We start from the raw sequence: 26,464 nt of genomic DNA, 5'->3' as shown, positions 1-26,464 counted from the left end.
TCTCGAACTTCTGACCCCAAATGATCCGCCTGCTTTGGTCTCCCAAAATGCTGACATAGGCATGAGCCTCCTTGCCCGGACTTCCCTCCTTTTCCTTCAGGGATTTTAAATGTTTTCTTTCCTCCATCTATTTAATTATATGTGATTGCCTTGAGGATTTCAGCTTGAATTAAAATTACATATATTTACCTGTCTTTATTAATATTTAAACATATTAAAATAATACATGTTCATAATGAAAATGAAACATTACAAATAAATACACAGGAAAGGCAGTATTCCCCCTCCAGTTCCACTCTTGAAATAACCAGTTAACAAGATGATGAGCAACTTTCCATGATGTTCTCCAAGATTCATGTAAGTATTGGCCAGCAAACAACAGAATATACAGGCCAGGCGTGGTGGCTCATGCCTGTAACCCCAGCACTTTGGGAGACTGAAGCGGGTGGATCTTTTGAGGTTAGGAGTTCGAGACTAACCTGGCCAACGTGGTGAAACCCCATCACTACAAAAAATACAAAAATTATTTGGGCACGGTGGTGAGGGCCTTAATCCCAGCTACTTGGGAGGCGGAGGCACGAGAATCTCTTGAACCCGGGAGGAGAAGTTTGCAGTGAGCCAATATCGCATTACTGCCCTCCAACCTGGATGACAGACTGAGATTCCATCTCAATAAATAAGTAAATACATAAAATAAAGAGAAAAAAAGAAAAATGAAAGAAAGATAAAGAAAGAAAGAAAGAAGAAAGAAAGAAAGAGAGAAAGAAAGAAAGAGAAAGAAAGGAAGAAAGAAAGAAAAAGAGAGAAGTCGTGTGCTCAGGTTGCTAAGATCGATGGTAAGAACAAATCCTCTAGCGGTGAAAATGTAAGAAGGAAAAAGAAATTTCTGTTAGTCTTGTTTGTTGCACCCCAAGCTCTAAAAAGTACAGCCATATGTGTGATAAGTGCTTAGTTAAGATGAAAAAGGCATTAAATTTGTGAGTGGAAATCAAACAGAAATGTGTTCTGATTGAAAGCAATTGGGTCAATGCTACCCAAGTTTCAGGCATCCACTGCGGGTCTTAAACACATCTCCTGCAGATAAGGGAGGGCTATTATATAACGTTTCTTTCTTTTTTCTTTAATTATAAAGCATTCTCCTTTTTTAATATAAAAATTGGCCACATATATCACTTTAGGTATAAAGATATTAGGATACCTTTATAGTAGATAAAATGCTGACACATTCTTTGTAAGAGTTAAAGTATCTTTCATTATATGAGCATTTAAGATATTAAAGTACTTTTGCCACCAAAAATAGTGCTTCTGTAAATATTCTTTTACTTATAACTTTGTTAGTTTTTACTTCTGCTGAAACAAATTGCATGAGGAAACAAGTGTATGTGTGTAAAGTGTAATATATGTATATATATTTAATATGGGTATATACAACTTAATATATACACATACATACAATAACATATACAATTTTTTTGTTTTGTTTTTTGAGATAGAGTTTTGCTCTCTCATCCAGGCTGGAGTGCAGTGTCATGAGCTCGGCTCACTGCAACTTCCACTGCTTGGTTCTCCTGCCTCAGCCTCCTGAGTAGCTGGGAATACAGGCATCTGCCACCATGTCCAGCTAACTTTGTTTTTTTAGTGGAGATGGGTTTTTACCATGTTGGCCAGGCTGCTCTCGAACTCCTGACCTCAAGTGATCCACCCACCTTGGCCTCCCAAAATGCTGGAATTACAGGTGTGAGCCACCGTGCCCAGTCTAACATATACAATTTAATGTATATACAAATATAGGTTGGGTGCAGTGGCTCTCACTCCTGTAATCCTAGCACTTTGGGGAGCTGAGGTAGGGGATTGTTTGAACCCAGGAGTTTGAAATCAGCCTGGGCAACATGGTGAAACCCTATCTGTACAAAAAACACAAAAATTAGCTGGGTGTACTTGCAGGTGCCTGTGGTCCCAGCTACTCAGGAGACTGAGGTGGGAGGATAGCTGGAGCCTGGGAGGTCGAGGCTGCAGTGAGTTGTGATCATGCCACTGCACCCCAGTGTGGGTGACAGAGTGAGACCCTGTCTCAGACAAAAACAAAAACAAACCAAATATAATGTTTATGTGCTACACACTTGATTTCTTTCCAAAGGGTTATATAACACTGTATTTTCACCAGCAATATATGCAACTACTCATTTCCTACATACTATCACTTGTGTGCAGTCAAGGAAACTTAGTAGGCCTGAATTGCCCAAACCTGGCATACTCCAAAGAATGGTGTGACTCTATCCTAGTTCCCAGGAAATAACCTCTAAGTCCTCGGACTCTCCTGCCTATCTGGGAGTTAACAACGTGATTTATTATGGGGACCTTGGACCATGCAGTCTCAGCTTGACCTTGGGAAGGGTGGAGACGGAGAAACTAATGTCATCCAAATGGGTGCTCTTGTCCATGTGACCAACCTCCAGTAAAATGCTCAACACCAAGGCTCAGGTAAGCTTTTTGTTGGGGAGTATATTCTATACTGTTTGCCAAATATCGCTGGGTGAATTAAGCACTGTCCACACGATGTCACTGGGAGAGGACAACTGGAAGCTTGTGCTTTGTCTCTCCTGGACTCTGCCCTGTGCACCTTTTTCTGCTGCTGATTTTAATCTGTATCTTTTCGTTGTAATAAACTATGAGTAAAACAGCTTCACTCGATTTTGTGAGTCTTTCTAATTAATCACTACACCTTTGGGACCTCAGAACACAATGTTGTTTCTTCTTTAATTGAATTTTCCATGTTATGTAAGAAACCTATGTGCATAAATGAAAAATCACAAACTAAGAAAGAGCTTTCCATGCAGTCTACTCCCCCACCCTGTTTCTCCAATACTCCCAGATCTACTTCCCGAATAATCAAATGTCTAAATTTTCTAAACTATTTCTAATCTATATATCTGAGTGCTTATCTCTATATTATATAATAGGTAGATCCTGCTCCTTCTCAATATATCAACTTGATATATTACCTGATGGCTTCCTGTTCTGATAGCTGATGACTTGGCTGACACTCACCCCTTACCCCAGTGCCTGGACCACTTTTCAAACATGGTGCTCTCACCATTTTCTTTTTCTTTCCTTTTCTTTTCTTTTTTTTTTTTTTTTTTTAGACAGAATATTGCTCTGTCACCCAGGCTAGAGTGCAGTGGCATGATCTGGGCTCACTGCAACCTCTACCTCCCAGATTCAAGTGATTCTCCTGCCTCAGCCTCCGGAGTAGCTGGGATTACAGGGGCACGCCACCACGCCTGGCTAATTTTTGTATTTTTAGTAGAGACGGGGTTTCACCCTCTCAGCCAGGTTGGTCTCGAATGCCTGACCTCATGATCCACCCATCTTGGCCTCCCAAAGTGCTGGGACCGCACCCGGCCACTCTCACTATTTTCAATGGCTCTCTTGGTCACCTTTCACTTGGGGGAGTAGCTGAGGCAGGAGAATCACTTGAACCCGGGAGATGGGGGTTGCAATGAGCTGAGATGGTGCCATTGCACTGCAGCCTGGGCAAAACGGTGAAACTCTGTCTAAAAAATAAATAAATAAATAAATAAATAAATAAATAAATAAATAAATAAAACAGAAAAGGAAAGAAAAGAAGCTCTCCCTCCATATACCTGTAAGGATCATTGTATTAATTTTCTTCATGTCTTAACATGATTCTTGCCTTGTCAGAGATCATCCTATCTGAAATTGAAACTATTTACCACTTCCCTTTTTTTTCCATAGCACTTAAAACTTTTTTTTTTTTTTTTTTTGAGATGGAGTCTCGCTCTGTCACCCAGGCTGGAGTGCATTGGTGTGATCTTGGCTCACTGCAACCTCCGCCCCCCAGGTTCAAGTGATTCTCCTGCCTCAGCCTCCCAAGTAGCTGGGATTACAGGCATCTGCCACCATGCCTGGCTAACATTTTTTTTTGTGTGTGTGTGTTTTAGTAGAGACGGGGCTTCACCATGTTGGCCAGGCTGGTCTTGAACTCCTTACCTCAGGTGATCCAAACCACCTCGGACTCCCAAAGTGTTGGGATTACAGGGGTGAGCCACCACACCCAGCCCTGGCTAATTTTTGTATGTTTAGTGGAGGCAGGTTTTCACCATATTGGCCAGGCTGATCTTGAACCCCTGACCTCAAGTGATCTCCCTGCCTCGGCCTCCCAAAGTGTTGGGATTACAGGCATGAGCCACTGTGCCCGGACTGCTTTTTGACAAATCATCTCTGTTCTTACATTATGTCCACTAGAATGTAAACTTGATGAGAGCAGGAGATATTGTCAATTTTGTTCAATGCTATTTATCCCTAGAGCCTAGAACTGTACCATGCACATGGTAAGGAGACAAATAGTTGTTGAATGAATATATTGAGCAGCTGTTCTCAGACTTTTTGGTTTCAGAAAATCTTTACTCTCTGTTTCTTTACTCCCGACCTCAGGTGATCTGCCCACCTTGGCCTCTCAAAGTGCTAGGATTATAGGAGTGAGCCAAAACACCCACCACCCAAATAATTTTTGTATGGTAGTAGGCACTGGGTTTTGCCATGTTGGCCAGGCTGATCTTGAACCCCCGAACTCAAGCGATCCCCCACCTCAGCCTCCAAAAGTGCTGAGATTACAGGCTGAGCCACTGCACCTGACTAAATAAACCAAAAACTTTAAATAAGTGAATTTGGAGGAAATACTTATAACAGATAAAATGGACAAACAGATAATTCTAATTTACTGTCTCTCCGGCTTAATAAAATATTAGTCAATACCCTAAGAAGAAAGGAACAAAATCTAAAAATTCACCATTCACAAACACAGATAGTCAGAAAACAAAGTCAAAACCTAAGAACTTGTTGACCTTATGTCTCCTCTGAAATCAGCTCTTGAATGTAATGTGTTGAACTAGTATTGACCTCAGATTAGGAAATTTTTAAAATATTTTTTAAAGTTGCACTTTTTGGAATTTAAAATTAATCCAGATTATGTAATATATAACATTTGGAATTTACCAATCAATACTCTATCATTTTATTTTTCACTCTTCAAATAATTTCTTGTTCAAGAGTTTAAAATGCTTTTAAAATTAATAGAATCTGCAGGCTATGGTCTGTAGAGACTGTCTCTACAAAAAATAAAAATATATATTATTTTAAAATATATATAAAATATATATTTATTTAAATGTATATGTTTCAAGTATATAAAATATATTTTTAAAATTTCATTTTTTTGCCGGATCGTATGGTAAGCGTATGTTTAGTCTGGCAGGAACTTGCAAAACTGCCTTCCACAGTGGCTGTCCCACTTTGCATTCTCAGCAGAAATAGAGATGAGTTCCTGTCGCTCCGTATCTTCACCAGCATTTGGTGTTGGTGTTTGCATTCAAGCCAGTCTAAGAGATGTGTAATGGTATCACATCGTTGTTTTAATTTGAATCCCCTAGTGACATACGGTGTTGAGCATCTTTTCAGAGGTCTAAGAAATGTGCTGGGCATGGTGGCACATGCCTGTGGTCCCAGCTACTCAGAAGGCTGAGGTGGGAGGGTTACTTGAGCCCTGGAGGTTGGGGCTGCATTGAGCCATGATTGCACCACTGCACTCCAGCCTGAGTGACAGAGCTAAACCCTGTCTCAAAAAGATAAATAAGGCCAGGCGCAGTGGCTCATGCCTGTAATCCAAGCACTTTGGAAGGCCAAGGCAGGTGGATCATGAGGTCAGCAGATCAAGACCATCCTGGCTGACACAGTGAATCCCCGTCTCAACTAAAAATACAAAAAATTAGCCAGGCGTGGTGGCTGGTGCCTGTAATCCCAACTACTCAGGAGGCTGAGGCAGGAGAATCGCTTGAACCTGGGAGGCAGAGGTTGCCATGAGCCGAGATCGGGCCATTGTACTCCAGCCTGGGTGACAGAGTGAGACTCCATCTCAATAAAAATAAATAAATAAATAAATAAATAAATAAATAAATAAATAACTGACTTAATTTTTAGAACAGTTGTAGGTATACACAAAAATAGAGCAGAAGGTATATTGAGCTCTAATATCCACCTCACACCATAGTACACACACTTCCTCTATTATCATCTTGTTAGTGTGGTAATTTGTTATGCTTGATGAGCCAATATTGATATTATTAAGTTCATGGCTAATATTAAGATTCACTCTCTGTGTTCTACCATTTATGGGCTTTGACAAATGCTTAAGAACATATATCCACAATTATAGGGTCACACAGAAAAGTTTCACTGCCCTAAAAATCTTCTGTGCTCCACCTATTCATCCTTCCCTCTGCTCAAGCCTCTGGCAACCACTGAACTTTTTATAATTCCATCTGCCTAGTTTTCCCTTTTCTAGTATTCCATATAATTGGAACTCTATACTATGTGGCCTTTTTGTATTGGCTTCTTTCACTTAGAAATACATGTTTAAGATTCCTCCATGTCTTTTCATGCCTTGGTAGTTCATCTCTTTTTATTCCTGAAGAATATTCCATTGTATGAATGTTTCAGAGTTAGTTTATCCACTTCTCTATTGCAGGATATCTTGGTTACTTCCAATCTTTGTCAGTTGTGTATAAGCTGCTATAACATTCATGTGCAGGATTTGAGTGGATATAAGTTTTCAAATATTTGGGTATATACCAAAGAATGCAATTGCCAGATCGTATTTAAACATACAAGGATGCAGGTGTCATGCACACAAATATGTATGTATATGTCATGCTCATATACAATTTTAAATGCATATATGTGTTCTATGGATATGTAAGTATTTCTCTATTTTCACAGAAATGTCACTCTAAATCAGTACCTAGGGAGGGTCATCATTTTCTTTATCTACAAATCAAGACACAGTATGAGTGGCTGCACCCAATTTGGTAAGTCCTCTATTATTGAGGATGTTTTCCTGTTTCCTTTGTCATTGTTGTTGCTGTTTTGTTTTGAGACAGAGTTTCACTCTTTTGAGTCAAGTGATGTGATCTCAGCTCACTGTAGCCTCCCGAGTAGCTGGGATTATAGGTGCCCACCACCACGCCTAGCTAATTTTTGTATTTTTAGTAGAGATGAGGTTTTAGCATGTTGGCCAGGCTGGTCTTAGCTCCTGACCGCAGGTGATCCATCTGCCTCAGCCTCCCAAAATGCTGAGATTACAGGCGTGAGCCACCATGCTTGGCTGCTTTCGTCATTTCAGACTGAGCTTGGAGAAGAACCTGAGGAAAAACATGACTTTAAAATTTTGATGAATGGAGAAATCTCTTTCCATTCACCTTCCTTTCCTCTATTTCATTCTTATTTTAAAATATGCAAACAAAGGTATGGATACATCAATTATTAAATAAACATCTGTGTGATATCTATCCAGGTGAAGAAATAGAGCACTATCACCACCGAGAAGTCCTCTGTATGCCCCTAACTGATCCTAAAGTCTTCCTTCCCCTTATTAGTAACAGATATAACAGATATCCACATTACCTGTGGATATCTGCCATCCTCTCCTTGGTTCTCTTTATAATTTTATTATGTATTTTATATATTTTTTTCTGTTTTGGAGATGGAGCCTTACTCTGTTGCCCAGGCTGGAGTGTAGTGGCAAGATCTTGACTCACTGCAACCTCCGCCTCCCAGATTCAAGCGATTCTCATGACTCAACGTCCCAAGTAGCTGGGATTACAGGCATGGGCCATGTGCCTCCATGCCTGGATAATTTTTGTATTTGTAGTAGAGATGGGGTTTTGCATGTTGGTCAGGCTGGTTTGGAACTCCTGAGCTCAATGCCTGGCCTTATTATGCATTTTTTATATGCCTAAAGTAAAGTCTGATTTTGCCTGGTTTTTCTCTTACATAATTGGAGTAAAAGTCTGTATCCTGGTGCATCTGGCACCTTTTACTCAATATTAAGTACTTAAGATTCACACTTAGCATTGTTTCTGCATTCTATTAAAACAGTACACCAGCCAGGCATGATGGCTCACGCCTATAATCCCAGCACTTTGGGAGGCCGAGGCAGGCAGATCACTTGAGGTCAGGAGTTCCAGACCACCCTAGCCAACATGGTGAAACTCCATCTCTATTAAAACTACAACAATTAGGCCACGTGGTGGCTAATGACTGTAATCTCAGCACTTTGGGAGGCCAAGGCAGGTGGATCACAAGGTCAGGAGATGGAGACAATCCTGGCAAACACGGTGAAACCACATCTCTACTAAAAATAGAAAAAATTAGCCAAGTGTGGTGGCACATGCCTGTAGTCTCAGCTACTCAGGAGGCTGAGGCTGGAGAATCACTTGAATCTGGGAGGCAGAGGTTGCAGTGAGCCAAGTTTTCACCACTGCACTCCAGCCTGGGTGACAGAATTAGACTCTGTTAAAAAAAAAAAAATTAGCCAGGTGTGGTGGTGTGTGCCTGTAATCCCAATTATTTGAGAGGCTAAGGCAGGAGAATCAGTTGAACCTGGGAGGTGATGGAGGTCGCAGTGAGCCAAGATCGTGCCCTGTACTCCAACCTGGGCAATAGAGTGATAGTCTCAAAAAAAAAAAAAAAAAAAGCCCAAGCGCAGTGCCTGCCACCTGTAATCCCAGCACTTTGGGAGTCCGAGATAGGTGGATCACCTCAGAACAGGAGTTTCAGACCAGCCTTACCAACAAGGTGAAACCCCATCTCTACTAGAAATACAACAATTTACCAGGAGTGGCGGCACATGCCTGTAATCCCACTTACTGGGGAGGCTGAGACAGGAGAATTGCTTGAACCCAGGGGGCGGAGGTTGCAGTGAGCCGAGATCGCACCACTGCACTCCGACCTGGGTGACTAAGCAAGACTCTGTCTCAAAAAATATATATAAATTTATATTTATATACATAAAATAAATAAAAAAATAAAAATAAATAAAACTACAGTACACCAGTGTGTATCCCTTCATTGTTGGTGGACATGTGGGTTGTGTTCATTTTTGTCAGTTACAAATGATGCTGTTGTGAACATGTTTGTATTTCTATTTGGTTACCATTAGTGTGTATTTATGTACAGTATAAACCAAGAGGTGAAATCACAGGTTACAGGGTAAACGTATCTTCAGTTTTACCAGTTATTATGGGTTTCATCCCAATGTTAACACACCAACTGACAGTCTTACAATGTCTGATAATTCCCAAATCTCTCCATTCTTCTTGACACTTAATTTCGTCAAAATTTTAATCTGAGTCTTTTGGTGGGTATGTGGCAATGATTGTGATATTAATTTACTGGGCCTTTTCTTCTCTATAACAGGCCCTGTCAAGATATATGTGTGGTGTGGCAGGGGTAGGAGCCCCTAGAGGTAGCATGGACTCTGGAATCCTTAATCATCCTATGTGAAAAAGTTGGTGGGGCAGTGATTTTTTTTTTTTTTTGAGACAGAATTTCACTGTTGTTGCCCAGGCTGGAGTGCAATGAAACTATCTCAGCTCACTGCAACCTCCACCTCCCAAGTTCAAGTGATTCTCCTGCCTCAGCCTCCCAAGTAGCTGGGATTAGAAGCATGTGCCACCACACCCAGCTAATTTTTTGTATTTAGTAGAGATGGGGTTTCACCACGTTTGTCAGGCTGGTCTTGAACTCCTGACCTCAGGTGATCCACCTGCCTCAGCCTCCTAAAGTGCTGGGATTACAGGCATGCACCCCTGCACCCTAATATTTCCTATGTGCAATGGTGTAGCCAGGGTGCAAAGCCAGTTCTTAATGATTCTGTCATCCAAATATTATACCTTCTCGATTCCCCTTGAGATATGCTCATTCCTCCATACAATTAAACAATCTCAATTACTCTTGAAGGAGCATAAAATCCTCCCTGTCTAATCATGGGTCTTTCCAAATTATTTGTTGGCTTGTGTTTAAAATATAAAAAAGAGAATGTAGATTTTGTTTTCTTCTTCCTGCTTAACCTGAACAAAATGTCATAGTTACCTCCTAGCCTGTTGCTAGACCAAGGAGAGTCACTTGAATAATGAACAAGACTGGAGGGAAACCACATGGATAATTTATCATTACACTATCATCACATACATGGAACTCATCAATGAAGCTTACGAAAAAAATTGAGTCATTTGTGGAAAAGTGTAAAGAGAATATAGGAGATGCCTCAAGTGAAGAGAAAAAAGCTGCAGAAAATAATTACAAAAAAAGAGTGTTAAGATGTAAACACAAATTCAGAGATTCAGGAGCACAAAGGATTAAGTTAAGGGAAAAAAGAGTTATCAGTATTTTCTTATTCATTATGGAGAGCAGGATGAATTCTTAAAAGGTCAAATAATTGTGAGTCTGATATATCTGACAATAATTTGTATTTTGTATTTCTAATGTTGTAAATGGTTGTTAATTCACAGTCATTATTCCTATTTTCTTTAGACTAGTGACCATGAGTTTGACTGACAAAAACCCATTGGGTTAGTATTGTTATCTATGTGTGTTCATCATGCTAAGTGTTAAAATAAGTCCATCAATTTTTGTCTTGTGTTTGTTTTCATTTCATTTTAGTTTAGTTTCTTTGGGACAGGGTCTCACTGTGTCACCCAGGCTGGAAGTGCAGTGGCATGATCACAGCTCATTGCAGCCTCTACATCTCCAGGCTCAGGTGATCCTCCTACCTCAGCCTCCCAAGTAGCAGGGACTACAGGCATGAGCCACCACACCTGGCTAATTTTTGTATTTTTTGTAGAGACGGGGTTTTGATATGTTGCTCAGGCTTGTCTCAAACTCTTGGACTCAAGTGATCTGTCCACCTTGGCCTCCCAAATTGCTGGGATGACTGGCATGCACCACTGTCCTGGCCTGTTTTCATTTTATTAATTGGCTGATTCATTCAGAAACATAATTATCAAGTCAAATCTCACTCTTTCCTTAGCATTTCCCTTCCGTTTAGCTGAGAAAATCTATTCCTATTTTAAAACATATACGATTATTCGAGTGTGGTGGCACATGCCTGTAATCCCAGCTACTCAGGAGGCTGAGGCAGGAGTATCACTTCAACCCTGGAGTGATATAGTGATTATATATAATATATAACTATATAGTGATTATAGTTTATAATTTTAACTATATCATGTCTCCTGCCTCATAAGTACCACTGGACTAGTTCCCTTTTATGAACTCAGCTGCTGTCAGAGGTAAATGTATTTTGAAGTGGAGAACAAAGATAAGTGCAAAATTGGCATGGAGAACTAAGGTAATTATGAAAGTTCCAGATACAAAGAGAGAGGGCTCAATATGCCAGCAGTTCTCTTCCAATCCATCCTAGCGGCCTTCTGTTAGGATTGCCTAAATAATGCAGGAGATGGGTGCAAGACACACAAGTGTTCCAGAAGCATGTAAACAAGGTACAGAGAAGAGGATAAGATAAAATAAGATGAGATAAGAATATTAGGAATGCCTTGTTCAGAAGATTGCCTACAGAGGCAAAAGGGACAGTTTCATTTTGCTGAGGGAAACAGGGTGGTAAGAACCCTCCTGGGGAAGATCCCCACTTACCCTGATACAGAAAGAAGGTGTAAAATTTCATAATGGGAGAGCATTAGGCTGAGATAGCTCCCATGGCCAGGGTTCCTGCATAGACAAAATGAAACAAGCTTAGCCCACCCACAGGTGGCCTGCCGAGTATTAGCTGGGTAATGAGAGACCTACCACCAGGATAGTTCAAATAATGCAACTGCCCACATTTTTGCCAATCAAATAATTTCTCTACTTTACTTCTATATTCACCCTGTAAAAGCCTTCCTTACAAACACCTCCAGTAGATCCTCCAACCACTTTCAGTTTGGAGCTGCCTGATCCATGAATCTCTGTTTGCTTAAATAAACTCTTTAAAATTTTAATATGTTTAAGTTTATCTATTTTTTTCTCATTTTAAAAAATTGAGATGGGATCTTCCTATGTTGTCCAGGCTGGTCTTAAACTCCTGAACTCAAGGGATCCTCCTGCCTCAGCCTCCTGAGTAGCTGGAATTATAGACGTGTGCCTCCACACCCAGCTTACATTTATCTTTAAACAAAGGTTTGACGTCTTTCTGAAATATATTTCTGTGAAGACCTGTACCCTCAGTGATATGGCAGGCTCATTTTAGACCACTGAGCACTTTTGTCTCTGGACTACAATTTGCCCTTTGTGACCTGCTCTACTAAAAAATTCAAGTGTAATTCAAGTTAGTTTACCCTCTGCTGATCAGGGGAGATTGCTCTCGGTGCAAGTTCAAAACAGGCACTCACACTTTCATTCATACCCCAAATCTCAGCATCACACAATACACCCATGTAATAAACCTGCAAAGGTACCCTCCGAAATCTAAAATGAAAGTTGAAATTCATTAAAATTTTAATTTCATCTTATTACAAAACAAAGATAAATTTACTGCTTTCCAATTTTGATATATATATTATACTGACATACACACTGTATTCTATGGTGAATTATGTTGATTGAATTTCACATTTTAAACTAACACTGAGTTACTTTGAAAAACTCTATTGGGTGATAATGTATTATGTTTTTAATATATTTTAATACAATTTGAAAATATTCTGTTTTAAAATTATGTTCCATAAATAAATAAATATGTAAAAATAATAAATGTTTGTATTATTCAAGTGAAGATTATAGCAATATTTTTGAATATCTACTTAATCTCAACTAGTTTTAATTCAGAAGTAGCAACTCCATAGAAATTCAGCTTATTACTACCTTATTACTCATACTTGTCTCCTTGAAGAAGCTTCATTGCTATCATCCAGTTTAGACTGGGATGTCATAAATCTCTAGACTGAGTAGTATAATATCCACTGTACAAATAAAATCAAATTATTATTATAATGTTATGACACCTCCAAATACAAAAAGCAAGCCCATGGATGTCAGGTTAAGGTATAGAGACAAATATTCCTACTTACTATCTTTTAGGGCAGACATATCCCAGCCAATCTGATTGCAAAATGAAATGGAAACCATATGGTGGAAGGGGACTTGAGACTCACACAGATTGGATTTTCATTCCAAACCTTACATACACAAGCTGCATGACTCTGGGTAGATTGCATATTCTCTTAGACTTTCAATTTCCTCATCTGTGCAATGGCAGTTAATGCTTATGGGCTATGGCTGATGTGGGGATAAAAGAACCAACATGGATGCATGGGCAGGGCCTGGTCCATGGAGCAGCTGGCATCAATAAATGGAAGCCCCTTCCCATCTTGTCTTTGCGTGCACCACAAAATCCGGAATATGTGGGTATAAAAAGTACTCTTAAAAGAGACATAATTGGAAACTTTTGCAAAAAGAGATTGGAAAGGTGTCACATCTTGTGGCATGAGGAGCTGTGGGCATACACTTGAACTTTGTGCTGTGAGATATCCACAGAACTTCAGTAGCTGAAGAGAACAGTTTAGATGTCATCTTATTCATCTACCATAGAACTTCCTCTTCTTCTCTGAGATTTCTAGACAATAACTTTTACAGCTCTAATAATGCAGTTGTCTCCCAATTGTTTGGACTATTCTAATAGATACAAAGCAGTATTTCACCAGCAGATGCTACTGCAGTTTGTATGATGATTTCAAACTGAGAATCTATTTAAAGTTATGCAATACTTTTTTTTGGAAATAGGGTGAAAGTAGTTTAAGTTTAAAATCCTATAAAATAGGTTTACAGTAAATAATTACTTGTTGCAATATCTATCATACTATCTTATATTCACACATGTGTTGGTGTCCTAATACATATGTATGAGAGTGAAAGTTACCTGAGGTCAGAGACTGTGCCATATGTTCCCTGCACCACTGGTGCCTATCTCAGCACATGATATACAGTAGATGCTCAATAAATACTTTCACTTAAAAAATGCACTGAGAATAAATCTTATTAGACATCAAAATACATATGAGCACAATCTAGGGACATGGTCAGGAGCTCAAAATTCAATCTTATTTATTTTTTATTTGGAGACAGAATCTCACTCTGTTGCCCAGGCTGGAGTTCAGTGGCATGATCTCAGCTTACTGCAACCTTCCTCTCCTGGGTTCAAGTGATTCTCCTGCCTCACCCTCCAGAGTAGCTGGGATTACAGGTGCACACCAACACACCTGGCTAATTTTTTTGTATTTTTAGTAGGCACAGGGTTTCACCATGTTGGCCAGGTTGGTCTCAAACTCCTGAGCTCAGGCAATCTGCCCACCTTGGTTTCCCATAATGCTGGGATTACAGGTGCCAGCCACCACGCACAGCCACAAAATGTTTTAAAGTAGCTTCAAAACCCATTTGCAAATAGAGGTATTCATAACAAGCTGCAAACAAGAAAACATTGAGCTTCATATAATAGAAGGGTTCTGCCTGGATTTGCATGTGGCCCCATCATTTGTTTGCTGTTGGGCCATAGTCAGGTTACGTAGCTGCTCTCTGCCTCCACATAGGCTTTATGCCTGTGTATCCCTCATCTACAAAATGGGAATAATAAGAATATCTAACAGTTAGAAGTGGAGAAAATATATGTAAAGACCTTTGAAAAGGGCTTGTGAAAGCTCAATAATTGTCCTCAATAATTGCTCTCAATAATTGCCAGCTATCATTCAATAATAATCATAATCATGAAAATGTATGACTCAAAGAAAGATTCTGACTTCATATCCAGCTTCCCAAAAGAATCAGACACTGGACCTGTGAAAAGAATGACATTGAGATGTATTTTCACATTGCTAAGTTGGTTTTTTCTTTGCCATTCAATTTCTGCAGTCCCTACTCTAAGCCCATGGTCCACCTTTTTATTTTTCCTCCTAAGATGTCTTCCCTTCTTGTAAGATTTACTTTTCCTTAAAAAGGGCCCTTTTCATCCACCCACTCTTTTGCCCTTCCCAGAAGTTGGTTAATGGACACAAAAATACAGTTAGATGGAAGGAACAGAAAAATTTTTAGTGTTCAATAGCACGTAGGGTGATGATCATTAACAATAACTTATATATTTCAAAATGACTAGAGGAAAGATGTAGAATGTTCTCAACACAAATGATAAATGTTTGAGGTGATGGATATGCAAATTATCCTGATTTGATCACTACACATTGTATGCATGTATCAAAATATAACATGTACCCTACAAATATGTATAATTGTCATGTATCAATAAAAATAAAAAGGCCTATTTCTCTTTCCTTCCTCCCCGCATTCCCTCCTGTCCCAGATGTGTGTTGTTCCTGGTGCTCTCCTGCCCCCCATTCAGCCAGCACTGAGCCAGCAGGAAGGATCTCACAGGTCATATCCTGAGATCAACCCTCCACCACTTCAGGTAATAATCCTCCTGCTTTTAGTCATTTATATCCTTTGGTTCATACATATTTTGAGTCAAGTACCTTCTAACTACTGATCTACATAATATTCCTTGGTTTTTAAAGATAATACAAAGTGGATTTTAGTAACAATCTTGAGTCACCACAGAAGCTAATGAAGTTGGGGATTCCACAAAGCCATCCAAGCATATAAAGCCCATTTCCTTGGGTCCCTTTTCCTTAGCTCAAGGCCACAAAAAATCAGAACGTAAATTCCAGCCCACATTTGCATTATGTCTAAATAATTATGAGTTATAAATGAAGCTAACAAATAGTTAAATATGTTCTATTCTCCTATTTCGATAAATATACTGCCATAATAACCCACAAGGTCAAAGTTGAGTGTAGAATTCTCTGATTTCTTGGTGCTCTGCACAGGAATGTGGTAGTAAAGGGAGAGCCGATCATCAGCCCCAGGCTAAACTTTTTTCTTTCATCGTAGGTAGCCCTGTCCTCACTTGAGAAGCTTTGCATACCCTTGTGTGGGGAACTCCCTAGGCCCCATGCAAGCTGCATCCACAATTCTCACCCCTTCAGAAAGCAGATCCTTGGGCACCATTTGGACAAGCACAGTTTGCACTTTGAAATGGACCCAGGGAAGAGGCCATGCAGGCTCAGGCACATTTCGCCAGGTCCCTGAGTGCCCAGCGTGTGCCCTAGAAGAGATGGTGAAGCTCTGAGTGGGCCAGGGTACAGTCAGTGGAGGGCCAGAGAGGCACCTTCTCAAGTGCAGGATTCAGGGCAGGGGTCCTCTTGCCCAGATCGATGGCTATGATTGCTTAGTGCAATGGCGCCTGCGTCATGTTTTCTCAGCTCACCTTTCATTCAGTCTCAGCCACCGTGAGAAGTTCCATGGAAGCACAGGCTTCTCTTGTGCTGCCAGCAAACTCAAGGTACACTTTCTGCCCTAGGGAATCTCCATTATTGTAGGATTTTGCCTGAGCACAAATACAGCCCAGAAACACTTGCAGGTTAACAGCCTCAGGGGAAGACCTCAACCAGTGTGGGACAGGTGGACAAATGCTCCAGGCTCATGTTTCAGGTGGACATTTCCGGATAACTTTCCGGAGCCTCTCGGAAGGTCCTGCAGAAAAAACTGCATGGCAGGAGCCTCAATAGCATGCCATTATTTTGGCTTTTCTTTCTTGCCTGGCTCACTCTTCCCACTTCTGACTCTTGCTTCTTGGAATCACTTTCCAAATAAACCACCCACACCGAAGTCCTTATTCCAGCTCTGCTTCTAGGGATACAGGCACACCTTGGAGATATTGCAGGTTTGGTTCTAGGTAACACAATAAGGTGAATGTCACAACAGTGCAAGTCACACGAAATTTTTTGCTTTCTGGTGCATATAAATGTTATGTTGCCAGGCATGGTGGCTTACGCCTGTAATCCCAGCACACTGGGAGGCCGAGGTGGGTGCATCACCTGAGGTCAGAAGTTCAAGACCAGCCTGGCCAACATGGCGAAACCCTGTGTCTACCGGAAATACAAAAATGGTGGTGCGCACCTGTAGTCCCAGCTACTCAGGAGGCTGAGGCAGGAGAATTGTTTGAACCTAGGAGGCAGAGTTTGCAATGAGCCAAGATTGCACCACGGCACTCCAACCTGGGCAACAGAGCCAGACTCCATCTCAAAAAAAAAAGTTATGTTTAAGTTACTGTAGTCAATTAAGTGTGCAATAGCATTATGTCTAAAATATAATGTATATACCTTACTTTGAAAATACGTGATTGCCAAAAAATGCTAACCATCATCTGGGCCTTCAGTAAGTCATCATCATTTTGCTGCTGGATGGTCTTGTCTCAATGTTGATAGCTAGTGACTGATCGAGGTGGTGGTTGCTGAGGGCTGGAGAGGGAGTGGCAATTTCTTAAAATAAGATGACAATGAAGTTTACCACATTGACTGACTCTTCCTTTCACAAAAGATTTCACTGTAGCATGCTACGCAGTTTGGTAGCATTTTACCTACAGTAGAATTTATATCAAAATTGGAACCAATTCTCTCAAACCCTGCCACTCTTTTATCAACTAAGTTTATGGGATATTCTAAGTCCTTTGTTGTTCTTTCCACAATGTTCACAGCATTTTCACCAGGAGTAGATTCCGTCGCAAGAAACCACTTTCTTTCCTCATTCATAACAAGCAACAATAATATATTATTTTATATATATTATATATGTATTATTATATAATATAAATTATATATTATATAACATTATATAATAATATATAATATATATTGTATATTATATTAATTATATTATATAATATTATATATTGTATATTATTATATTAATTATATTATATTATATATTTTATCATAATATAATATGTATTATAATATTATATATTATATAAGCAGAAATGATATCCCTTGGTTTTTAAAGATAATACAAAGTGGATTTTAGTAACAATCTTGAGTTGTCACAGAAGCTAAGGAAGTTGGGGATTCCATGAAGCCATGCAAGCATATAAAGCCCATTTCCCTGGGTCCCTTTTCCTTAGCTCAAGGCCACAAAAAATCAGAACATGAATTCCAGCCCACATTTGCATTATGTCTAAATAATTATGAGTTATAAATGAAGCTAACAAATAGTTAAATATGTTCTATTCTCCTACTTTGATAAATATTCACAGTATATTATGATAAATATATTGCCATAATAACCCACAAGGTCAAAGTCGAGTGTAGAATTCTCTGATTCCTTGGTGCGCTGCACGCGAATGTCGTAGTAAAGGGAGAGCTGATCCTGAGCCCCAGACTAAACTTTTTTCCATCTAATTCCATTTATTTCCATTAAGATTGCAGCAATTTGGCCGGGTGCGGTGGTTCATGCCTGTAATCCCAGCACTTTGGGAGGCTGAGGCAGATGGATTATCTGCAGTTGGGAGTTTGAGACCACCCTAACCAACATGGTGAAACTCCTTGTCTACTAAAAATACAAAATTAGCCAGATGCAGTGGCACATGCCTATAATGCCAGCTACTCAGGAGGCTGAGGCAGGAGAATCAATTGGACCCAGGAGGCGGAGGTTGCGGTGAGCCGAGATTGCGCCATTGCACTCCAGCCTGGGCAACAAAGCAAAACTCCATCTCAAAAAAAAAAAAAAAAAAGATTGCAGCAATTCACTCACATCTTCAGGCTCCACTTGTAATTCTAGTTTTCTTGCTATCTTCACCACAACTGTGGTTACTTCCTCTGCTAAGGTCTTGAACCCCTCAAAGTCATTTATGAGGGTCAGAATCAACTTCTTCCAGACTCCTATTAATGCTGCTATTTTTACCTCCTCTGGTGAATCATGAATGTTCTTAGTGGCATCTATCATAATGAATCCTTTCCAGAAGGTTTCGAATTGACTTTGCCCAGATCCATCAAAGGAATCATGACCTGTGGCAGTAACAGCCTTATGAAATATATTTCTCAAATAATAAGACTTGAAAGTCAAAATGATGCCTCAATCCATGGACTACAGAATAGATGTTGTGTTGGCAGGCATGAAACCAGCATGCATTTCCCTGTACATCTCCATTAGAGCTTTTTAGTCACCAGGTACACTGTCAAAAAGCTGAAGTATTTGAAATCAATCTTTTTTTCTGAACTGTAGGTCTCAACAGTGGGATTAAAATACTCAGTAACCCATGCGGTAAACAGCTCTGATATCATCCAAGTGTTGTTGTTCCATTTATAGAGCTTGGGTAGTGTAGATTTAGCATAATTCTTAAGAGGTGCCCTAGGATTTATGGAATAGCAAATGAGCATTGGCTTGTAACAAGAAAGTCAGCCTGTCCTTTAAATCTTTTTCTTTTTCTTGATATAAGGTCTCACTCCATTACCCAGGCTGGATTGCAGTGGCATGATCTTGGCCCACTCCATACTTGACCTCCTTGGCCCCACAATCCTCCCACCTCAGCCTCCTGAGTAGCTGGGACTAGTAGCATGCACCACCATACATGGCTTATTTTTATTTATTTATTTATTTATTGTTAGAGACAGGGTTTCACCATGTTGCCCAGGCTGGTCTGAAGCTCCTAAGCTCAAGCCATTCCCCCACTTCAGCCTCACAGAGTGCTGGGATTACAGGCGTGATCCACCCTGTCTGGCCTCTAAATTCGTGTTATGGAGACTCATTTTCATGGTTAAAATGTCCTGAATTGACTGTGGCCTGTTGGGAGGCGGGATGGAGGAAACTACTTATGGAAAATGAAGAAGAAAGGGAAGCACACCAGAAGCAAGAAAGTGTCATCAATTTTTACATCAAGGACTCCATGATAAAGAGAAAGTACAGGTGGCCTGTTATCAAGGCTGACCATTGGACTGTGGACTGCACCTGCATCTACCAGGTTCTTCTGGATAGTCCCAGTTTTAAATTTTTGACCTGACATTCATGAACACAGTGCTACTGGTCAGACCTTTGTCCAGGTTTAAGCTTCAGAACATAATGTCTTCATGCAGTGGGAGGCCTGATTATGGTTATGATTCTGCCCTGGGGCATCTGCCCCTTCTTACCTGGAGGTAAACTTGGCATCTACTACTTACCTCTACACTTGAACAGCCAAGGATGGGCTGAGCACAGAGGCTCACATCTGTAACTCCAGCACTTTGGGAGGCCAAGGAAGGAGGATCGCTTAAGGCCAGGAGTTCAAGACCAGCCTGGGCAATATAGTGAGACCTCGTCTCTGTAAAAACAAACAAACAAAACCGAGGATGGGTGGGTGACAGGGAGCAGTTCAACATCGGAAACCATAAATCTGAGAGGTGGAAGGACCCTTAGACCAGCCCCACATTAACAGATGAGACTCTGCCCTGAGATTATAGCCTAAGGTAATGCATTGAGCTTTTCTAGAGATTTGAAAATAATCAATCCTAAAACCCCCAAGCATACTGCTACTGTTTGCTATTGAATAATGTTTTCTAGTCTGGGTGTGGTGGCTCCTGCCTGTAATTCCAACACTTTGGAAGGTCGATGCAAGTGGATCACCTAAGGTCAGGAGTTCGAGACCAGCCTGGCCAACATGGTGAATCCCTGTCTCTACATAAATACAAAAAATTAGCAGGCCATCGTGGTGTGCACTGGTAATCCCAGCTGCTTGGGAGGCTGAGGCAGGAGAATCCTTTGAACCTGGGAGGCAGAGGTTGCAGTGAGCTGAGATCACACCATCGCACTCCAGCCTGGGCTACAAAAGTCAAATTCCATCTCAAAAATAATAATGATAATAATAATGTTTTCTACAAGCAAGGAGTTACTTTGTACTGTGAACTGGTGTGAAGGGATCTGCCATGTGTAAGCTTTTGGATTGATGACAGTTATTTCTAATTTTAAAAATAGCAACCCAACAGAAAATTGGGAAAATGCATTAATAGGGATTTCACAAAAGAGAAAGCCTGCAAAACATAAAAATTTTCTCAACCTCATTAGTAATCAGGGAAATGCACAAGATACTACACATCTATTCTCTCCACAAATATTAAGAAGTTTGACAATACAAAATGTATTAGTCCATATTCACACTGCTGATAAAGACATAACCGAGACAGGGAAGAAAAAGAGGCTTAATTGCATTAAGGGTTCCACATGGCTGAGGAGGCCTCAGAGTTATGGTGGTGGATGAACAGCACTTCTTACATGGCAGTGGCAAGAGAATACGAGAAGGAGGCAAAAGAAGCAAAAGACAAAACCACTGATAAACCCATCAGATCTTGTGAGATTTATTCACTATCACGAGAATAGCATGGGAAAGACCGGCTCTAAAGATTCAACTACCTCCCCCTGGTTCCCTCCCCGAACACATGGGAATCCTGAGCAATACAATTGAAGTTGAGATGTGGGTAGGGACATAGTCAAACCATATTATTCTGCTCCTGGCCCCTCCAAATCTCATGTCCTCACACTTCAAAACCGATCATGCCTTCCCAACAGTCCCCCAAAGTCTTAACTCATTTCAGTATTAACCCAAATGTCCACTGTCCAAAGTCTCATCTGAGACAAGGCAAGTCTCTTCTGCCTATGACCCTGTAAAATCCAAATCAAGCTAGTTACTTCCTAGATACAATGGGGGTACAGGTCATTGAGTAAATACAGCCGTTCCAAATGGGAGAAATTTGCCAAAACAAAGGGGTTACAGGCCCCATGCAAGTCCAAAATCCAGCAAGGTAGTCAAATTTTAAAGTTCCGAAATGATCTCCTTTGACTCCATGTTTCACATCAAGGTCATGCTGATCCAAGAGGTGGGCTCCCACAGCCTTGGGCAGTTCTGCCTCTGTGGCTTTGCAGGGTATAGCCCACCTCGTGGCTGTTTTCATGGGCTGACGTTGAGTGTCCACAGCTTTTCCAGGCTCATGGTGCAAGCTGTCAGTGAATCTACAATTCTGGGGTCTGGAGGAGAGTGGCCCTCTCCTCACAGCTCCACTAGGAAGTGCCCCAGTAAGGACTCTGTATAGGGGCTCTGACCCCACATTTCTCTTCTGCACAGCCTTAGCAGAGGTTCTCCATCAGAGCACCACCCCTGCAGCAAACTTCTGCTTGGACATCCAGGTGTTTTCAAACATCCTCTGAAATCTAGGTGGAGGTTTCCAAACTTCAGTTCTTGACTTCTATGCATGTGCAGGCTGAACACAACATGGAAGCTGCCAAGGCTTGGTGCTTGCACTCTCAAGGCCGTGGCCTGAGTTCTATGTTTTCCTCTTTCAGCCATGGTTGGAGGGGCTGAAACGCAGAGAAACAAGGCCCTAGGCTACACACAGCACAGTCAACCTGGCCCAGCACAGAAATCCATTTTATCCTCCTAGGTCCCAGGCTTGTGATGGGAAGGGCTGCTGTGATGACCTATGACATGTCCTGTAGACATTTTCCCCATTGTTTTTGGGATTAACATTCAGCTTCTTGTTACTTATGCAAATTTCTGCAGACAGCTTGAATTTATCCTCAGAAAATGGGATTTTCTTCTCTATCACATTGTCAGGCTGCAAATTTTCCAAAACTGTATGCTCTGCTTCCTTTATAAAACCAAAGGCCTTTAACATCACCCAAGTCACCTCTTGAATGCTTTACTGCTTAGAAATTTCTTCCAGCAGATACCCTAAATTATCACTCTCAAGTTCAAAGTTCTACAAATCTCTAGGACAGGGGCAAAATGCTGCCATTCTCTTTGCTAAAACATAACGAGAGTTACCTTTGCTCCAGTTCACAACAAGTTCCTCATCTCCATCTGAGACCACCTCTGCCTGGACCTTATTGTTCAAAACACTATCAGCATTTTTGTCAAAGTCATTCAGCAAGTCTCTAGGAGGTTCCAAATTTTCCCACATTTTCCAGTGTTCTTCTGAGCCCTCCAAACTGTTCCAACCTCTGCCTGTTACCAAGTTTCAAAGTTGCTTGCACATTTTTGGGTATCTTTTCAGGAGCACCCCACTCCACTGGTATCAATTTACTGTATTAGTCTGTTTTCACACTGCTGATAAAGACATACCCAAGTCTGAGAAGAAAAAGAGGTGTAAAGAAAAAGAACTGTAATTGGATTTACAGTCCCACATGGTGGGGGAGGCCTCAGAGTCATGGCAGGAGGTAAAAGGCACTTCTTACATGGCAGCAGCAAGAGAAAATGAGGAGGAAGCCAAAGCAGAAACTCCTGATAAACCCATCAGATCTCATGAGACTTATTCACTATCATGAGAATAGCACAGGAAAGACTGGCCTCCGTGATTCAATTACCTCACCCTGGGTCCCTCCCATAACATGTGGGAATTCTGGGAGATAGAATTCAAGCTGCGATTTGGGTGTGGACACAGCCAAACCATATCACCATATATGGAGAGACTGTGGATCAACAAGATCATCTCGAACTAATACAGGAGGTGAGCGTTTAAATTAGAACAACCACTTTGGAAAGCAATTTGGATTATCTTATAAATTTGAGCATTCTCATATGTTATGGCAAAGTAATTTCTCTACCATAGGCCCTGGAGAAACTCTTGCCCATATGTACAAGATGTAGTAAAAAAAAAAAAAATGCTCACGTAATGCCATTCATAATAGGAAAAATCTGGAAATAAGCCAAATGTTCATTAATAGGAGAATGGGTAAATTAATAGGAGAATGGGTAAATAAATTATACCCTTAAAAACTAAGTAACATGTCATTTAGGGTAATCATATGTATGCAATAAAACAATGTGTTTTTTTTAAAGGAAGAGAATCCTAAACATAAATTCAGGGTAGTAGTTACCCTCGGGCTGAAGGGTGAAAATCAGGAAAAAGGACAGAGGAGGAGCAGATGTTAGGGTCAGAACCCTAGTTCTTTGGTTGTGTTGTAAGTTGACAAGTGATTACCATATTGTTCAAATACATTTACACAGAGGCCCAGGCACAGACAAGGGTGAAATAGGAGCCAAGGTGTACTATGAGCCAAGGATTATGATTAATCCAATTTTGTGCACTTAAGCCATTTGAAAAACAGAAAAGCAAAACAACAAAATAATTTTTAAGAAATTGAATATAGGGTGCTATGCTCTGAATGTGTCCCCCTAAAATTAATCACCAATGTCATAGGATTAGGAAGTAGGGCTTTTAGGTAGTGATTCAGTCATGAAGGGAGAGTCTTCACAAATGGGTGTAGGATCCTTACACAAGGACTGGAGGGAGTGGGCTTCCCCTGTTTTGCCCTTCCGCCTTCTGCCATGTGAGGACACAGTGCCTCTCCTCCTGAAGACACAGTGCACAAGGTACCATCTTGGATGCAGAGACCAGGCCCTCACCAGACACCAATCCTGCTGGCACCTTGATCTTGGACTTCTAGCTTATGGAACTGTGAGAAATACATTTCTGTTCTTCAGAAATTACCCAGCCTAGTGTATTTTCTTATATAGAAGCACAAACTCATTAAGGCACAATGCCTCTTGTCATTTTCTTCTACAATTTTCTTTGTGGCCTCTTTAGCACTGGGTCATTTTATATTTGCTCCTTCATAATATCTCTTACTTTCGGTTTTTCACATTTCTGTTCCAAGTGTATTCTTAGATACATATTTTCCACTATTAGTTAACCTCAGGGGTTGCCTGGGATGTGTGTTTCTGTGCCACCACTGTAGGACTGTGTGTGTGTGTGTGTCTCCCATTCTCTCTTCTCTCTCTGTCTCTCACCCTCTGTGTGTTTCTTTCCCTCTCTCTGTTGGTCTGTGTGTGTGTGTGTGTGTGTGTGTTTGTGTGTGTATGCCTGTGTGTGTGTGTGTCTTTGGACGAATGTGCTCTGTTTGCCAAAATGCGATTTTTTGCATGTCGGCCAGTCTTTGTTGAGCCTCTTTCTGTGTCTCTGTCTGGGTCCCGTGGCCGGTTGTCCATCGTTTTCACGGCGGTTCCACTTTGGGTTTGTGAAGTCCTCGATCACGTGAGGAGATGCGTCGGTCCCGGAGCAATCGAAGTCTCATCCCCATCCTGAGCGGCCTCTTTTCTAGGATCAAGAGGACCACACTCCAACCCAGGACAAAACCCCACAGCAGCTCATTGTCCGGCAGGAGAGGAGCAGACACACCTCCAAGAAGATGGTTGTACCCCTGCACGGCTCTTCTCTGAGCAATGAAGCCACACCACGATACAATTCTGAAGAGGAAGCCGGGAATGGAAGACGGCAACAATCCCTGTCCCTGGAATGCTGGCCTCTCTGGACAAGTCATGCGTTTCGCACCCCTCCCCTTATGCCTGTGGCGGTGGCAAGGTTCTGTAACCTGCCTGGGCTCTGGCCTGTGCTCTGTCCTCCCTCTTGCTCTGTCTCCCCTGTTTCTGAGGGGCCTAGTTGCCTCTTGGTCTGGCTGAATAACTTCTACGAAGATCGCTTCCCAGTCCATCAGGGAGACACTTTCTGGAGATCCGCGACATGACTCTTTCTCTCTCCAAACCTGTTTCTGCTGGATTGGGCAGGTCTGATAAGCCTGGAACACTTGGCTTCCATGCGTGTCTCAGACAGGGAAGCTTCTTTGGTCTCCTTGTTTCACCTCATCGGTGGGTGGATTGCCTAGAATGAGCGCTAGGTGATCATGACTGGCCTTGTCTTCTAAGACAGGTGGTGTCCCATTTCCTTTGCACGTCCTGTCTCACAAATGAGGGATATCCTCTCCTCTGCTCATAGGTGGACTGATTCCCTGAATCTTTTGTCTGTAACGAATGTCAGGAAACCAAAGGAACTGGGCTGGGCCTGGGGATGGGGTTGGGGCCGGGTGCAGGGAAGTTGCGTCAGGGCTACCTGGGCGGTGGAGGCTTCGGGGTGGGGTGAATGTTGCAGAAACCTCTGTGCTCCTCTGGCAGGCATTTCAAAATGTGGCTTGGACTGAGGCAAAGGCCCCGTCCAGGTTCCCAGGTCTTCTTTGAGTTCCCTTGGCACTCAGGGAAAGGCCACTTGTTCCCCCTTTCCACCGGGCACATGCCTGGACACCATTGTTGGTTTTGCCATCACCCCATATGCCTCCGGTGACACACATTCACACCATCTGCTGTGGGATACGCCAGTGCCACGCGTGATCGCATTGTCTCCACCTCGGCTTCGCACCATCCCTGTTTGCACCTGTCCTGGAAAGCGGTGTCCGCTTGCAGGAGCCCCAGGGCTTTTAGAAGTGGGGCACGCCACTGCTCTTTCAACGGAGGAGGGAGGCAGAGGGCTCACAGATCAGTGAACTTTCAGCTGACACCACGCCTTGAGGGCCATGGGATCATTCCGTGCTGCAGCGACGACCTGCCTGCCTCACCAGATGTGCTGAGCCCATCCTTTCTAACCCGGAGGGGTCAAAACTAGGATCTGAAGAGGAGTCCTGAGAACCCAGCAGGCACCCTGAAGATCCCCCTCCATCGGCGGAAGTCGGCTCAAGGAGGTCTTGAAGATTGGACTCCTGGGGGTTTGGCCCTGGGACAGGATACTCAAGGACTCCTCTCCCACCCCGCCCCAAACTGGACCTCAGCCCCCATGCCACAGCCCCCACTTTCTCCCCAGAGCTGAGGGACAGACAGAGAATTGCGACTAGAAATTCGATCGATTGGTACGAGGGACCACGTGGCCAGGGGCTGGCCAATGACCAGGCCGCCCGGGATGAGCTAATAATGGAAGCAATTTGTAACTTTCAGTAGCTCTCTAGG

At 41.8% G+C, this 26,464-nt stretch overlaps 1 long non-coding RNA gene across 5 annotated transcripts; it reads right to left on the bottom strand.

Moving 5' to 3' along the window:
- Positions 1-468: 468 nt before the first annotated feature.
- LOC107987000 (uncharacterized) lies at positions 469-26,431 on the bottom strand. 5 transcript variants are annotated; one of them, XR_002956846.1, is made up of 3 exons: positions 17,063-17,414; positions 11,509-14,679; positions 469-505 (listed from the first exon to the last, which is right to left on the bottom strand). It is a non-coding gene; the product is annotated as an uncharacterized LOC107987000 (long non-coding RNA). The 5 variants fall into 5 exon arrangements; XR_001746476.1 differs by lacking the exon at positions 469-505 and adding an exon at positions 7,118-7,217; XR_007061521.1 differs by lacking the exon at positions 469-505 and adding exons at positions 19,887-20,026; positions 25,581-26,431 and having other exon boundaries at positions 9,596-17,195.
- Between the last annotated feature and the right edge of the window lie 33 nt (positions 26,432-26,464).

Source organism: Homo sapiens, chromosome 9 (assembly GCF_000001405.40).
Source record: "Homo sapiens chromosome 9, GRCh38.p14 Primary Assembly".
Lineage (NCBI taxonomy): Eukaryota > Metazoa > Chordata > Mammalia > Primates > Hominidae > Homo > Homo sapiens.
The sequence above is the reverse complement of the archived record's forward strand: the minus strand, read 5'-3'. Positions and strand labels throughout refer to the sequence as shown.